General features: G+C 39.9%; 1 pseudogene, besides 2 other annotated features; it reads left to right on the top strand.

Annotated features, from left to right (window-relative positions):
* Nucleotides 1,003–1,232: an enhancer, noted in NCBI's record as "active region_17541". NCBI's record gives its function as "activates an Ori minimal core promoter by ATAC-STARR-seq in GM12878 lymphoblastoid cells {active_cell/tissue: GM12878}" and the evidence as "EXISTENCE:reporter gene assay evidence [ECO:0000049][PMID:35858748]".
* Nucleotides 2,459–2,986, top strand: RPL23AP6 (ribosomal protein L23a pseudogene 6; annotated as a pseudogene).
* Nucleotides 10,447–10,670: a silencer, noted in NCBI's record as "fragment chr20:10322076-10322299 (GRCh37/hg19 assembly coordinates)". NCBI's record gives its function as "represses an EF-1alpha promoter that drives an FKBP-Casp9 reporter gene in an ReSE screen in HepG2 liver carcinoma cells {active_cell/tissue: HepG2}" and the evidence as "EXISTENCE:reporter gene assay evidence [ECO:0000049][PMID:32094911]".

The following is a 16,864-nucleotide window of genomic DNA, read 5'->3' as shown; positions in this document are numbered from 1 at the left end:
CTCCTATCTTAGCCCCCAAAGTAGCAGGGATTACAGGCACGCACCACCACACCCAGCTAATTTTTTGTATTTTTAGTAGAGACGGGATTTCACCATGTTGACCAGGCTGGTCTCAAACTCCTGACCTCAGGTGATCTGCCCGCCTAGGCCTCCCAAAGTACTGGGATTACAGGCATGAGCCACTGTGCCTGGCCTGAAAATTCTTTTTTTTAAATTAAGATTTACTTTTTTAATTCAAAAGTTAACACAGCAGAGGTGTTTGTTCCAGGGGTGGTTGTGATGATTGTGGTCTATGACACAGCTTCCACACCTCGAGAATAACAATCGTCAGTGTTCAGTGAGCACTCCCTATGTGTTGTACTGTGAATAATCAAAACATGTATTTAGGCTACTTGGGAGGCTGAGGTAGGAGAATCACTTGAACCCGGGAGGCGGAGGTTGCAGTGAGCCAATATCACGCCATTGCACTCCAGCCTGGGTGACAAGTTTTGAAACTCCGTCTCAAAAAAAAAAAAAAAGTATTTGGTCTTTGCCCCTGTTTCCTGCCACAGAGTTTCAGAAACTCTTGGAATTTCCTTAATGACAGGAGTGTCTTTTGTTATTCATAATGAGCCACTTTTGCTATATCCAAGTATATGCTAATAAGGTAACTTTTGGCAGAGCCCCTAGAGAGCTTCAGGATGGGGGGTGGCAGCTAGGAAAATCAACCATGTGGTGAGAGGGTTGGAACCTTCAGCCCCAGTCCCTGCCTGCTGAGGAGGGGAGGCCAGAAACTGAGGCTAATGTGGCTAATGACTGATTCAATCATGCCTACATAATAAAACTTCAATAAAAGCTCTGAATGATGAGGTGTGAACTGCTTCCCAGTTGGTGCACACATTGATGTACCAGGAGGGTGGCAGACCCTGGCTCCATGGGGACAGAAGCTCCTGTGCTCAAGACCCTTCCAGATCTTGCCATCATATGTTTTTTCATCTGACTATTCATTTGTATCCTTTATGGGAAAAGAGTAATTGTAAGTACAGTGTTTTCCTGAGTCCTGTGAGTCATTCTTTCACAGGGTGAACCTCAAGGGGGTGCAGCCTGGGAGGTCACATGGGTTCTTGCCTTCATGCAGGAAGGAAATCAAAAGTGAGATGACAGAGTAAAGTGAAAGCAAGTTTACTAAGAAAGTAAGGGAGTAGGCCAGGCGAAGTGGCTCACGCCTGTAATCCCAGCACTTTGGGAGGCTGAGGCTGTTGGATCACGAGGTCAGGAGTTCGAGACCAGCCTGATCAACATGGTGAAACCCCATCTCTACTAAAAACGCAAAAATTAGCTGGCACACACCAGTCGTCCCAGCTACTCGGGAGGCTGAGGCAAGAGAATTGCTTGAACTGGGGAGGCGGAGGTTGCAGTGACTGTACTCCAGCCTGGGAAACAGAGTGAGACTCCATCTCAAAAAAAAAAAAAAATCAGAAAGTCTTACGGGGGCAAAAACCAGTTACTGCATTGTGAGGGCTCAATTGGCAATGTATTCCTGTTTAGTTTCTCCCTCTTGATTCCCTGATCCCCTGTTCCCCTCCAAACCGCCCCCATCTGACACTCCTGCTTCCTGGAATTATTTCCCAAATAAACTACCTATATGTTCTCAGGCTCTGCTTTCCAAAGAAACCAGGCCATGATAAGATATGGCTAACCTCAGCCGGAGGGATATTGATGTTACCTTAATGACAAAATGGTACAGGGATGAATGGGTTCTTGCTAAGTTTACTGCTCCTGTACTTTGACTTGTGGTGAAAGAAAATATGTTGAAACTAATTAAAATGGTTTCACATCATGAAATTTTTTGAAAGAAATGACCTCGAGCTAATAACATCTGAAAAATGAATAATAGGACAATTGAAAAAGTAACAATGAAGAGTGTTCTTTAGAATTTATGGAAAAATTAATACGAAGGGATTCAGAGTAGATAAGATATCCTTTTATGTGAATTTAAAATATATTTTATTACAGAAGGATTAGGATAAAAACCTTTGATAAGTTGTCATCTGGCTAAGGAAGGACAGTGGCCACATCATGCTGATATTTGCATCCTCACCATTTGGTGCCTGGAACATAATAGATATTTTAAAAATGTGTGTTGAATGAATAGAATCTTAATATTGGTAGTTAGACATTGTAATGGGTTGCATCGTGGCCATGAAAAACATGTCCAAGTTCCAACTTCAGATACGTGTGAGTGTGAATGTGATCTTATTTGGAAAAAGAGTCTTTGTTGGTGTAAATTAAGTGAAGAATCTCAAGATTAAACCATCCTGGATTAACTAGGTGGGCCCCAAATCCAATGACAAATGTGCTTATAAAAAGAAGAGCAGAAGCAGACATAGGGGAGGACCATGTGAAGATGGAGGCAGAGATTGGAGTTGTGCAGCTACAAGCCAAGGGATGCCTGGAGACATCAGAAACTAGAAGAGAGCTTTTCACAAGATGGTGCCAAAGATGAAGAAGGAAGCTTCCGTCCCTCCTAAAGCCAAGGCCAAAGCAAAGGCTTTGAAGGCCAAGAAGGCAGTGCTGAAAGGTGTCCACAGCCACATACACACACACATAAAGAAAATCTGCACGACCCCCGCCCACCAAGACACTGTGACTTCAGAGGCAGCCCAAATATCCTCGAAAGAGCACCCCCAGGAGAAACAAGCTTGGCCACTATGTCATCATCAAGTTTCTGCTGACCACTGAGTCTCCCATGAAGAAGACAGAAGACAACAGCACACCTGTGTTCATTGTGGATGTTAAAGCCAACAAGCACCAGATCAAACAGGCTGTGAAAAAGCTCTGTGACATTGATGTGGCCAAGGTCAACACCCTGGTTAGGACTGATAGAGAGAAGAAGGCACATATTCTTCTGGGTCCTGATTATGATGCTTTGGATGTTGCCAACAAAATTGGGATCATCTAAACTGAGTCTGGCTGGCTAATTCTAAATATATGTATCTTTTCACCAGAAAAAAGAAACTAGAAGAGACAAGGAAAAATACCCCCCTACAGCCTTGGAGGGAGTGTGGCCTTGCTAACAGCTTGATTTCAGACTTACAAACTCTAGAACCGTGAGAGAATAAACTTCTGTTGTTTAAAGCCACCAAGTTTTTGGTAATTTGTTATGGCAGCCCTAGGAAACTAATACAGAGGTATGAAAAAAAAATGGTGAAAGCTAATGGAACATAAACAATGATTTCAACCATAAAAACACTCAACAAATATTGATCAAGCCTTCACCAAATGCCAGGGACTTCTCGAGGGAAACAGCAGTGAGCAAAATATATGGAGGCCTGTGTACTCACAGTGCTTACATTCTAGCAATATTCTGGTCAGAGAAGCCAGCTTATTCAAAACCTTTACTCTTAACCGAGGCGTGTGTATGTCTGTACCTACATCAGGACCAACTTTACACAACTAGTGGTAAAGAATTTAGAAAATAAAGATTACATAACAACAAAGGAAGCACTTACCACAGAGGACTCAAGCTCCAAATTTCCAGATGGGATATATTATTTTTTAACAAGGATAACAGAAGAAAGACATTCAGAGTTTTTTGACCTTCAGATTTCCATGCAGCTCATGAGATAGATTGGAATTGTCTCCTTGGTTGCAACAGAAGGTTTATCTTCTATAAGCGAACGCAAGGGCTTTGGCTAAAATGTAACTGTATTCCAGTTTGGGGAAAAATAACTCAAGGAAATTTTTCTTAAACTTGTTTTTCTACAATACTTTTAAAAAATATTATGCATCTTAAACTTTTGACAGGTGCCATTGATTATCTGCCAGAGAGGACTAGCCGGTAGCTAGAAGAATGATCATACAACAAACCAATATTAAGGGATAGGTTTGATTCAAAAACCTATGAATCAAATGTGTGTGTGTGTGTGTGTGTTTGGATTTTTACACTTGCGATCATGACACTATTGCCTTTCATGCTGTGTAAATTTAATTAAATGTAATGACCCTAATCAATATAAACTTAAAATAACCAAATATAATTTTGTGTTAAAGTATTATCTGTGTGATTGGAATACAACATAACAATACTATATTCTGCAAGAAGCACTTTGGCTTCCAGTGGCTCTAATACTAGAACAATTCTGAGGCCTGCTTTGTTAGCATCAATCAGCAAGCAGAGCAAAGCTCAGAAATGCTGGACAGAGAAAGCATAAGATCAAATCTGAGAGAACACTTAAAGATGAATCTGAAAACTTCTTTACCTTTTAATATTAATATGTCAGGGTTAAATCATGAATGTATTTCATGTATGCAGGTTCAACTTGGCAAAAATAAATAAATAAACAACTTTTTAAATTTTAAATTGCAACTGCTAATCCACTAATTGAGAGTGAGTCCTGTGGTCAAGGTGAGATAGGAAACTTTGTACCCTCAGCCTCCTCAGTCTCTGAATGCCTCTTGTGTGTGTGTGTGTGTGTGTGTGTGTGTGTATGTGTGTGTCTGTGTGTCTGTGTAGCTAAGTTAAATATAATTCTTGTATTTAAAATTATGTAATTTTTCATAGAACATGTCCTCTGATTCTAAGCCCACTATTCTCCCCAGCTTTTAACCAGACCTTTCACTGTGTTCAACATCTTGAAAGGGATATAGACTGTGTTTTAGGGGTAATTTGAGGGGTTTTTCAAAAGTAAATTGGCTCTGGAATTTCTGTCTCATATAGAATCTAAATGAGAACTAGAGAGAGAGAGAGAGAGAGAGAGACTCTGTTGAACATTATATGACACAGCCAAGAATATGAAAAATGATGACAGTCGCCCCAGCAAACAGCTTGACTGCAATCTCGTGAGACACCCTGAGCCAAAACTATGCAGCTAAGCTGCTTCTGAGAAACTCTGAGAAAATAAATGTGTGTTGTTTTAAGCTGATGAATTTCAGAGTAATTTGTTATGCGGCAATAGATCACTAATACTGTGTCATAGATTTGAAGAAGAAAATGTAGAGTCTTTGCCTTTCTATATTTTGAAATCAAGATGAAAGAAATATGTGCAAAAAAAAAAAAAACCCTATAAAACAATGTGAGAAATGCCATAATAGGAGCAAGTCATTAATAAGCCAAATAGTATTTAGGAGGAAAAAAATGGTTACTCCATTTCTGATCACTAGAGGACTACATTATACTCCACTAAACAAAGAATAATCTGCTTTCAGCAAAAAGTTTCCTAGTTTTGGGAAGTCCAAAAGGACTATTGCCAAGGGAAATCCAGGTTATAGTAGTAAGAAATGGCGGAGGGGAGGAAGAGCTGAGAAGCACACAGGAGGGCCACTGACACTTATTGATTACTTATGGCTCATGTACTTTATCCACATTTTCTTATTTGATCTTCACACCAATTGTATGAGTTAGATCTAATTTTCTTTATCTTATAGATGGACACTATCTATACCAAGGAATGAAACCTTTTGTTTTTGGAATATTCTATAGCATTTGGCAAATTTGGTCACTAAGACTATGCTGAAAGTCAGACTCTCTGGCCTGTAATAGATGGTGACCTGAATTTTATTACTAGTCAACTGCCATCAGAGAGGTATGACAGTTTCGTAGGGGTTGGGCAGCTATTTCAAGAAGGGTCAGGAATTAAACAATGAGCAAAAGTAACGTAATCAATAGGTTTTTCTTTCTGCCCAGTTCTCTAACTTTATAGGTGAACAATACTTTCCAATCTTATTTAACTCTCCTGAAGTACTCCAAGTGGATATGTTCACTATAATCTTTACCTTGACAGTTATGATTATGTCCACATTTTTAAATCACTTGAATAATTAAGAATAAGCACAAGACATTTACCTTCCAAGAAAAAATTATCAACGGCTTAAATTTCTTTGAGAATATGCACTACAGCATCACTCTTATTGCTAATGATTTATAATTCTGTAAAATTAGACTTGTAAAACAGAAATGAAAGGAAAATGGTTATTACCAGGTGAGGAACGGTTAGAAGTTGGCCTAGATAATTGTATTGCTAAAAAGCCATTTGCTTCTTGTTTTAGTCTGTTTCATGCTGCTTTAACAGATTACTGCAGATTGGGTAATTTATAATAAACATACATTTATTGGCTCACACTTCCAGAGGCTGAGAAGCCCAACATGAAGATTCCAGCATCTGGTGAGGACCTTCTTTCAGTGTTAAAACATGGCAAAAGTCATCATATGGTAGAAGGGCAAAGAGATCAAGAGGGCCGAACTTGCCCTTTTATGTCAACAGTAATCCCACCTATGAAAGCAGATCCTCATGGCCTAAGCGCCTTTTAAAGGTCCCACCCTTAATACCATTACAATTAAATTTCAACCTTACTTTTGCAGGGGACAAACATTCAAATCACAGCACTTCTATACCTTGAGAAGTGCTGAAAGGTTACTCCTCAAATGATTTCTTAATTGTTTTGTTAAAATACCTATAATACCTGTGACCAGAGTCACTGCTTTTGTAGTTTTGTGAGGTTTGATCCTTTAATGGGCATGAGAAACGCTACATGATCACAAAACAAAACAAACACAACAGCAACAAACACATACAGGAACTTCCAGTATGACTCTGTGTAAGTAAGTCTCTTTCTTTTTCTCCTCCTGAAATCTATACAAAATCTTCAAGGAGAATGAAGAAACACACTTCAGAGATGCCATCTTTAGTAAAAAGTAGGAGACAAATATGATTCACAGACTGTAAAATATAAAAGCAACAGACAGGAAGAGCAGCTGAAAAAAGTAAAAGAGAAAAGGAAGGATAAAGGCAAAAGGTTAGTGAAAGAACCCAGAAAAAACAGATTTCAGAAAGCACTGTAAGAATACACTGGCTAAAGGTGATAGAGCCATCTTGAAGTGACTATGGACAATATAGAAATTTTACAATACTACAAATCGGAGTGAAGAAAGTAGGAGTTAAAATAAGTCTGCTGATTTAAATGACGTCATTAAAAGCTGACTAATGAAGTGATAGGCATACACACATTTTTAATAATACAAAGGTAACGATAAGAAAGATAACGTTATTGATTTAAATTGGGTGGTGGGGAGGAGAGGAAGGGAATGGGGAAGAAGGAGAGAACGCTATTTTTTATTTCTTGTAACAGGGAACTATTGTATGCTGACGATATGCATTAATAAAAATAATCATCATAACAGAACTACAGACCTCATCAAATCTTAGAACTATACACAGAAAGCAAACCAAAGAAAATAGACTGCATGAAGTCTTTAAAATATTAAAGACTTTAATATATAAAAACAGAAAATGTGAAATAATATGACAGAACAGAGACCAAACACATGTCAGCTCAATAAATATAAATGGATTTAACTTACATTTTAAAGGAGAATAAGTTTAAATTAGGTTGGAATTTAAGCGATTATAAACCCTATGCCATATATGAAGGACACGTGTTAGAAAAGTGATTTAGGATGGTCAAAAATTGAAGGATGAGCAAAACTGTATTAGGAATGGCAAATTTTTGAAAACCCAGGAATCATGGTCATAATATCTGAAAAGATGTAATTCAGTCCTAAAAGCTGTAGGTACTTCATAATTTTGAAATGTGTAAAGCATATAAAAATATATCAGTTTTTTGGGAGGCCAAGGCTGGTGGATCACCTGAGGTCAGGAGTTCGAGACCAGCCTGGCCAAATGGCGAAACCCTGTCTCTACTAAAAACACAAAAATTAGCTGGGCCTAGTGGCGGGCACCTGTAATCCCAGCTACTCAGATGGCTGAGGCAGGGAGAATAGCTTGAACCCGGGAGACGGAGGTGGCAGCGAGCCAAGATTGAGCCATTACACTCCAGCCTGGGCAACAGAGCAATCAAATAACATGGCAACAAAAAATCATAAGACAGAAACTATAGAATAATAGAGGACTTCAAATCAACTCTTTTATTCTAAAATATTTTATTATTCTATTTTATTCTATAATAGTTTGGATGAAAAATAAGAAATGATATGAAAGGTCTAAATAACATAATTTTAAAGTAAAATTGATTATATATATATACATACACACATAAATATACACACACATATGTGTGTGTGTTTGTGTGTGTGTATATATATATGTTTATTAGAGCATATGCATTCTTTCCAAGTGCCCACCAACACATATAAAATAGGGTACAAAGGAAACCTCAATAAGTTCCAAAAAGTAGAGATACCTTTTGTCTTGAATGAGTGAATGACTGTTTCTTGACCTCTTACTGTGTTTTATTTTGGATTCTGCCAGAGAACAGATTCTGACACAAAGACTTGAATGTAATTTAGGAGGTGAACATTTTGGGCTTATTTAGAAGATAAAGGCAACTGGAATTGAGGGTTACATGAGACAGGGAAAGGGAAAGGAGCCAATGATATGTACCTTGTCAAGTCAGCTGCTGTTAGGAATGGCTGGAGCTCATTTCTGCTGGGAATACTCTGAAAGCTGGTGTAGAATATTCTACCTGAGGGTTAAAGAAACTGAGACATTTATACAACAAATGGCAGAGGGGGATCCAGGGGACAGTGAAAGCCCTTAGGGAAGGAAATGCGAGGGCTGGCTGTTGAAAGTTTGACTGATGTGCATTGAAGAGGAGTCAGGGGACACAAGGTGGGGCACCAATAGCATCTGAACTTCAATGTGTGCAAATACAGCATTCAACGACGGGGAGAGCTGGATAAAAGCAAAGTCAGATAAAGATAAAGTCAGAATGGACAAGTTATTCTGGGCACCCAGGTTAGGTTAAGCAGAAGTCTAAAATCAGAAGTTTTTTTCCAAAGCTTTCTTCTGTTGTTTTTCTATTTTCTTAGTTCTTTCATTAAGGGCTTTTCTTATGAGTTTTCCTTACAGGGAGCCCCCTCTTCCAGTTGGTGTGTAAATGCCTCAGTTCTTTCATCTATGTTAGGCTGTACAATTCTTCAATATTTAGGAATTAAAAAAAAAATCTAACACTTTTTGTTAGAATTGTTTGCATAATCTTTCCTCATTTGGGTAGCATTAGATGTAGAATTAAGATTGGTTCCCATTCTATGCTTGTTCTTCCTGGCTTTCCTTCTATTTTGCTGCTGCTGTTTTTAAAGAGATTTGCATTGATTTTGTGATGTGGCTGGTGGGTGCCAGGAGGAACTTAACTGGAAAGGAACTGTGAACAATTTGGGAATGTGGGGACTGTAAAGCCAGGGGTAAAAATGTAAAAATATTTAGTGTACAACACAGTGTGGGCAACAACCAATCACCATGTGAACCCTTGACTACATACCGACTTTCTGCTCTATGCCAGAATTAACCCTTTAGTAGGTGACTGATCTTGGGGGTTCTAGAGGGAGAGGCTGGGATTACTGGGATAACCTGAGGATTATATGAGTGGCTCAGAGCCATGGCTAGTTACCAAATGGTGCTTAAGTATTACATATTTTAACAAGATGTGAATACTTGCTGAATCTCAGCCCTGTGTATAACCTAGATAAAACTTTGTCAGAATTTGCTTCTTTCTTCCAGGTGCAGTGGTATGTTCTTATGTCTCAGGATCCTTGGAGTGTCACTTCACCAGCTGGGAACATCTGTGGCCAATGGCACCTTTGCCTGAGTTTTGCTTGGGCCCACTGGACTTGTTCCACCCACTTGGCCTGGCAGGCTGCATTCGGCTTTTGCTCCTAGCCTGGATCCCACACCTGCCAAGGGCAAGCCAGGCATGGACCAGTGAGGGGGTGCATGAATGAGTGAGCCTGGGGTCCAGCCACTGTGCACAGCCAGGCTGTGGTGGGGCAGGCAGCTCCAGGCATTGGCATGGGTGCTGGCTCCCTGCTGTGGCTGAACTAGGCATACCACAAGTGGCTTCCACTGCAGGCACTGGGGAACCTGTTGGTGCCCAGAATCTTGGAGACACCAGGAATGGCAGAGCCCTAAATTGGGTGTCATAGCCCTGGTTCTGGGAGCTCTTAGTCTGGGCTTCCAGAAGGGCAGCAGCTCTTCTCTCCTCTCTTTCTCCTTGCCATGATGTGGTGAGCAGTGGGGGTGTGTTTCAGCTCTGTTTGTGTTACAGCTCCTCCAGCCCCACCATTCAGTGGGTCTCAAGTTCTTGTCCCACATCCAGGAAGAATGAGATACGAGGACAAACGGAGGGTGAGCAAGGGGTGCTTTACTGTGTAACAGTACAGTGCTCAGGAGACCCTAAGTGGGCCGCTCCTTTCTGCAGGCAGGTAGTCCTGACAAGTGTGCAGCTCTCAGCAGAGAGGAGACTCAGAGTGGGTAGCTCCTATCTGCCTCCAGGTCATCTGGATATCTACCCAAGTCTGGCTGTGTCTGGGGTTTTTATGTGCTTCAGAAGGGAGGAAATGCATGCTGATTGGTCCATGGGAGGTGATGGGCAGGCCCGGAGAAAGCACCATAAGTTCTCACTCTGGTCGGAGAAACTGGCAGCCCCGCCCCTAGTCTTCAGGCTATCCCTGGCTTGAAGGCAGGACTTCACTGGGGTCCTGCCCCTTTCCACCCAGGAGGCTCTCTGCCTCCTACCACCATCAACCTACCATCTATGGCACCCACAGCACCCAGGCTGTTCATGCAGAGGGGTGCCTGCAGGCCCATGCCAAGCTGCCCACAATTCCCCCTCACTCTCTCCTGTGCTCACTGGTACTCAAAGTCCAGAGGGGACTGAAGCGGCAGGGGGCTGGCATGTCAGTGCCACCCCAAGAACACACAGACCTGGCCAAGTTGAGACAGTGACCAGTCTCAGCCACAACTTTGCTCTGAAATAGAAGCAGGTGCTGGGAGCCAGGAGAAGGAGGCCAGGCAATAGGATCGGGCACTTTCAAGCCTGCAGGGGCAGGGGGGCTTCGCAGGTCCACCCCCCCTCCAGAGCACAGGGATGCCCATGTCTGCAGCCATAGTTGGGTGGCTGCAGCAATGCCCAGGAGTGTGGGGTTCCCACCCCACCAGCTTGGAAGGGGATGGGGCTCCTGCCTGTTCCCAACTCCTGCTGGCTCTGTGGAGCATGCAGCCCTGGCTGCACCTCCCTCGCTGCAGCAGGCATCTTTGCAGCAGTGGCTCCAGATAGGCTGCTGCTGCTATCATTATAGTCGCAGTTCCTTAGAAGGCTGAGGCAGGAGGACAGCCTTGAGCACAGGTGTCTGAGGCCAGTGTGGGCAACACAGCAAGACCCTGTCTCAATGCAATAATAATAATAATAAATTTACTCCTGTGAATTGGGCTTAATATGACATTTTGCCTACCTCTGCTTTTCAGATGGGGGCTAAGGAGTCTACAAAATCCCCCAAATGTCTATAATTCACATTGGTCATGTCTAGTGACTGCGGGAAATACATAACCTCTGAAGAGGTAACATGGACAAGATTAGTCTAGACTGGTATTTTAAAACTCTTGCTCCAATACCATTTCTAAACATTAACCTACAAATGAAGAATTTAGTGTTTCTCTTTCAATTGATACTGAAGGAGAGTCTGAGGATCTCTAGCGCGGTTAAGCTAGTTTCATTGTAACATGTGGCTGCAATGCACAAATTTTCAGTCATATATTCATGGGATTTAAATTATTTCAGATGTGCCTTCTCCCTGAAGACATTTTTCTGATTTTAATCTCATGCTTTTTTTTTTTTTACTAATATTGTTGTTAAGAAAAAATATTACCCAAAGCTTATACGTAAGGTAAAAAAAAAAAAAAAAAAAAAAAAAAAAAAAAAGAAACTTTGTTTCCATTGTTAGACAATGCCCTGTTCCCAGATCAAAAGTTGGCACCTGATACAGTTTGGGTGCCCCTTCCAAATCTTATGTTGATGTGTATTGTCCAGTGTTGGAAGTGAGGCCTGGGGGAAGGTGCTCAGGTCATGGGGGAAGATTACTCATGGCTTGGTGCTCTGCTCACAATAGTGAGTGACTTCTTTTAAGATCTGATTGTTTAAAAGTATGTGGCACCTCCCGCTTACCCCTTGCTCCTGCTCTTGCCATATGATGTGCCTGCTACCACTTTGCCTTCCACTGTGAGTGAAAGCTCCCTAGGTCCTCCCCAGAAGCCAAGCAGAGGCTGTCGATATACTTGTACAGCCTGCAAAACTGTGAGCCAATTAAACCTATTTTCTTTGTAAATTACCCAGTCTCAGGTATTTCTTTATAGCAAAACAAGAATGTCCTAACACATCAAGATTTTTGTTATATTTTGTTTTCTGTAAAGAGCCCAGATAGTATTTTAGACTGTGTGGGCCATCCAGTCTCTGCCACAACTATTCAACTCTGCAGCAAAAGCAGCTATTTAAAACATGTAAACAAATGTGTGAGGCTGGGTTCCAATAAAACTTTATTTACAAAACAGGTGGTGAGCTAGTTTTGACCCAGAGTCTAAGCAAGGCTGTAATTGGATGACTCCTGCCCTAGGGTGACATGATATATAAGTTTGTTTGATTTACGATTTACTGTTGATTAGGGCTCAGACAATTTACAACTCTATGGTATTGCTTTACTGGAAACTGATAAGGTATAAATAATTTTTGACCAATGTTATGCAATAATTTTTGTCCAGAAATGGTGGGGATTATTTTTGCCTGATGGTGATACACACAAATTTCCCTGGGTAGAAAAGATAACCTCAAAGGATATAGTTGTATTGCTAGTAGAACAATAACAGTTTTGCGTCTTTGTGATTTATTGCAGAATTCTTTTCTTTCATTGACTATATAATTGTCAGTCTTTGTATCCTACAAGTTTGAACCTACAAGTTGGTTTGAACCAACTTGGTTGGTTCAAAAAAACCATTAACTCATTATTAAGTCTAATAAAACTTTGATTTCTATTCATTATAAATTTAATTGAGAATTATATAATTTTAAACATTTTGAAAATTACATTTTGGATATTGTCTGTTAAGATATTTGCCTAGATTTGATCCCAGTGCTCTTGTCCTTCAATTTTATGAACAGGTAGGGAAAGGAAAAACTATTTCTATTGACTTTCAAATCCAACTCAAGACTCTTAAATAATCTAACCAAGAGCTGAAAACAAGTAAAAACTATCTGAATGTGATAAAGAAGCCATAGGTGCCTTGGAAAGAGCATTTAACTGAAATGTCAGGATGTGGCTTCAAGTTTGGCAGTAGCAGAAAGCATGTGGCATGTGTTTCTAATTCTGATACAGCGAACCTCTTGCAACATTTTCTGTTTTCTGGCAACATCTATCTCAAGATGGCAGGTGTTTTGCTCACTGGAAGTTGTGGGCACTTCTTAGATGTTACCTTTAAAACAGGAATGAAGGAACTTTTCAGAGTAAGTGAAATCCATGCATTAAATGTATTTTTCCCAAAAAATAACCCTCAGGAAAATTTAAGAATTGAGATTCTTCTCTCCCCCTTTGGCTCACAGCAGTGACTGTGTCTGCTTTTAGGAGAGGCTGAACTTTTGAAGGACGGCTGAGCTCATGCTAATCAGCAGGCAGTAGCAAACTGAAGTGGATTTTTTTTTCACATTAGACTAGATGGTGTAGTGCCAAGTGGAAAAATATTATTCAGTTTCATTTTGGATTCATGAGTTTCTTTTTTCTACTGTGTGATACTTGAAAGTCAAACTGAATGTCAGAGATAAAAATGTCATGCAGATTATAGCTAGGTTCCCTGGGTTAGTTGGAGATGTACACAGTTGAGACTCTTGACTGAGGTATAGAGAGGTCAGTTCAGCCCTGCTGTTCCACAGCCGCCCCCTGCTATTCCTTACTCCAAAACAGTAATTCACTTTTTGTGTCCAGTTGAAAGTCAGGTATGACTAATATTCAGCTGTGCTCCTAAAAGCTTAAAGACAGTCAGTTTATGAAAGCGCTAAGGATAAAGTTTTTAGAAAAGATAGACTCATAACTCTTCTACAAATAGAAAATGGACACACGTCAAAGATTTTATTTAACTCGTTAATGAGGAAACAGTAAGATGTTACAACCAGTTCAAGAACAATTTGAAGAGAAGACATACATGTAGGCTACCATAAATGTCAAAATGAATTTGAATTTCCATAATTGGTGCCAAAATGACTTGTTTGGGTAGGGGGGAATCAACTGAACCTCCCAGATTCACTTGTATATTTGTGGAGGTTCAATTCAATCCCAATGCTATGGTCTTTCAATTTTATGAACAGGTAGGGAAAGGAAAAAGTGTTTCTTTTGACTTTAAAAACCAACTCAAGACTCTTAAATAATCTAACCAAGAGCTGAAAACAAGTAAAAACTATCTGAATGTGATAAAGAAGCCATGAGTGCCTTAGAAAAATCGAATGTGGAGCATCATTTGCATTTCTTTCTTTTTCATAGCAGCATTATTTGTAATAGCTGAAATGTGGAAGAAACACAAATGTTCATCAACTGATAAATGAACAAACAAAAGGTGGTATGTCCACACAATGGAACACCACGCAGCCCTAAGCCATAAAAATGGATGAGTGTTCATTCATGCTATAGTATGGATGAGCCTGGAAAACATTATGCTGCCTCAGAAGAGCCAGACACAAAAGGCCATATGTTGCATAATTCCATTTATATGAGTTGTGTCCAGAATAGGCAAATCCACAGAGGCAGAAAGTAGATCAGTGGTTGAGAAAGGCTGAGAGGAAGGTGGAAAGGAGGGTGACTGTTAATGGAGATGAGGTTTCTTTTGGAGTGATGAAAATGTTCTGAAATTAGTGTTGATTGCGTAATTCTGAATCATTTGCATTTTTCAGTTGCAGAATTGTAAAGAACTCAAATAAAATAAAAGGTATAGAGACTCCAAAGAATCAGGTAACCTGGAAGGGTATATTAGACAATGCCTATATTTTCATTTAAAACATACAGTAATTTTTTTGGGTGTATTTTAGTCCTTTGCAATTTTTCTCTACAAAAGAAAACTCAACTAAAATTATGTTTGTATCTCTAGGGTTATATAAAACAGAAAAGGCAATAGTGTTCTTCTCCTGCATCTGTTTGCCAAACACAACATAATAGAACAACAGATGGACTAAGTAGCAGACACTTGAAAGCTAGAGAAATCAAATGGAAGAAAAAGTAAACTTTATTCTTTGCTTAATCATTGCCCTTACAGCATTTTACTTTGTGTTTCACATTGTGGAAAATTTTAAGAGAAAAATACTAAATGGACTGAGCTGTCTTAAGCTCCCTGTTTTCATTTTACAACTTTTCAACATTTTGTAATGTCAGAAAAAGCAATATAAATCTAAAGCCTTAGAGAATAACGTGGAAATCTTGTGACAATTTTTCATGGAAGGAAGAGGCAACAGCACAATGGATTCTACATGGCATACCTTTCTAATAACCCTTCTTATATACCATCCCCCCGAAATATTCCACTCCTAATAGCTCTTCCTGAATCTTTTCTCTCTCACGTACTCTCCAAAGTTTCCAGTTGTGCTAGCTCTTCTGTTTCTCCTGTCTTTTCTCTTTTTGTTCTCATGAAGATTAATTGCACCTTCTCAATTCTTCAAGTCTTCTCTCCTTCCACAACGATACCCTGATAAACAAACCAAACAAATACTATTTCTTTTACCCTTAGGAAGAAATGGAGAGGGTGATCACAAAAACTTGTAATTTGGTATTTTCCTCCACACCACACTTTATTTTTAACCTAAAGATTAAATATGTTTGCTATATACCTTGGAATATAAATAGCTACCACACTGTAATTTTGAATAAGTACACCATAAATGATAGCAATTTTATTAAACTTGTGTAAAAAAGTATTTCTATACTTCATCTAAATGTCAACTGGGTTCCTCCCAATACTTCCAAAATTCAGGTAGGCAAAGGGCTGTATTAGTTTGCTGAGGCTGCCATAGCAGAGTACCATTGACTCTGTGGCTTACAACAGAAATAAATTTTCTCACAATTTTGGAAGCTTGGAAGCATAAGATCAAGGTGTTGGCAGGTTGGTTTCTTCTGAGGCCTCTCTCTTTGGCTTGGGGATGGCCATCTCCTCCCTGTGTATGTCTAAATTACCATTATAGGTAATTTGTTTAGTTTAATGTTTATGATTCTTATGGAGAAAATAAACATAATGCACACATTTAAAGTGTTCTTCATTTATCTTTGCATTAGTGCCTAAAATACATATTTCTCTTTCAAGATGGCATTTAAAAATTATTCTAATACAGTAGCAGCAAAAATACAATTCTGCAATTATAAAAGAGCTCAACTGGAATCCATAATTAAGCTATTCTTATGTTTAGAATTGTGATTCTGAGGCCAGGCGTGGTGGCTCATGCCTGTAATCCCAGCACTTTGGGAGGCTGAGCCAGATGGATCACTTGAGTTCAGGAGTTCAAGACCAGCCTGACCAACATGGTGAAACCCTGCCTCTACTAAAAATACAAAATTAGCTGGGCATGGTGGCACATGCCTATAATCCTAGCTACTTGGGAAGCTGAGACAGGAGAATCACTTGAACCCGAGAGGTGGAAGTAGAGTGATCCCAGATCATGCCATTGCACTCCAACCTAAGCAATGAGCAAAACTCCATCTCAAAAAAAAAAAAAAAAGAAATAATTGCGAATCTGAAATAAATACCACTACTATGTAGCTCTGTTGTAAGCTTTCTAAGTTTAGTTTATTATTTATTTATTTATTTTTTGAGACAAAGTCTCACTCTGTCACCCAGGCTGGAGTGCAGTGGCATGATCTCAGCTCACTGCTACCTCCTCCTCCCGGGTTCAAGCAATTCTCATGCCTCAGCCTCCAGAATAGTTGGGATTACGGGCATGCAGCATCACATCTGACTAATTTTTGTAATTTTATTAGAGACGGGGTATTGCCATGTTGGCCAGGCTGGTCTCAAACTCCTGGCCTCAAGTGATCCGCCTACCTCGGCCTCCCAAAGTGCTGGGATTACAGGTGTGA

This window comes from Homo sapiens, chromosome 20, assembly GCF_000001405.40.
Source record: "Homo sapiens chromosome 20, GRCh38.p14 Primary Assembly".
Classification (NCBI taxonomy): Eukaryota; Metazoa; Chordata; class Mammalia; order Primates; family Hominidae; genus Homo; species Homo sapiens.
Note: the sequence above shows the minus strand (reverse complement) of the source record. Positions and strands in the feature narration are given on the sequence as shown.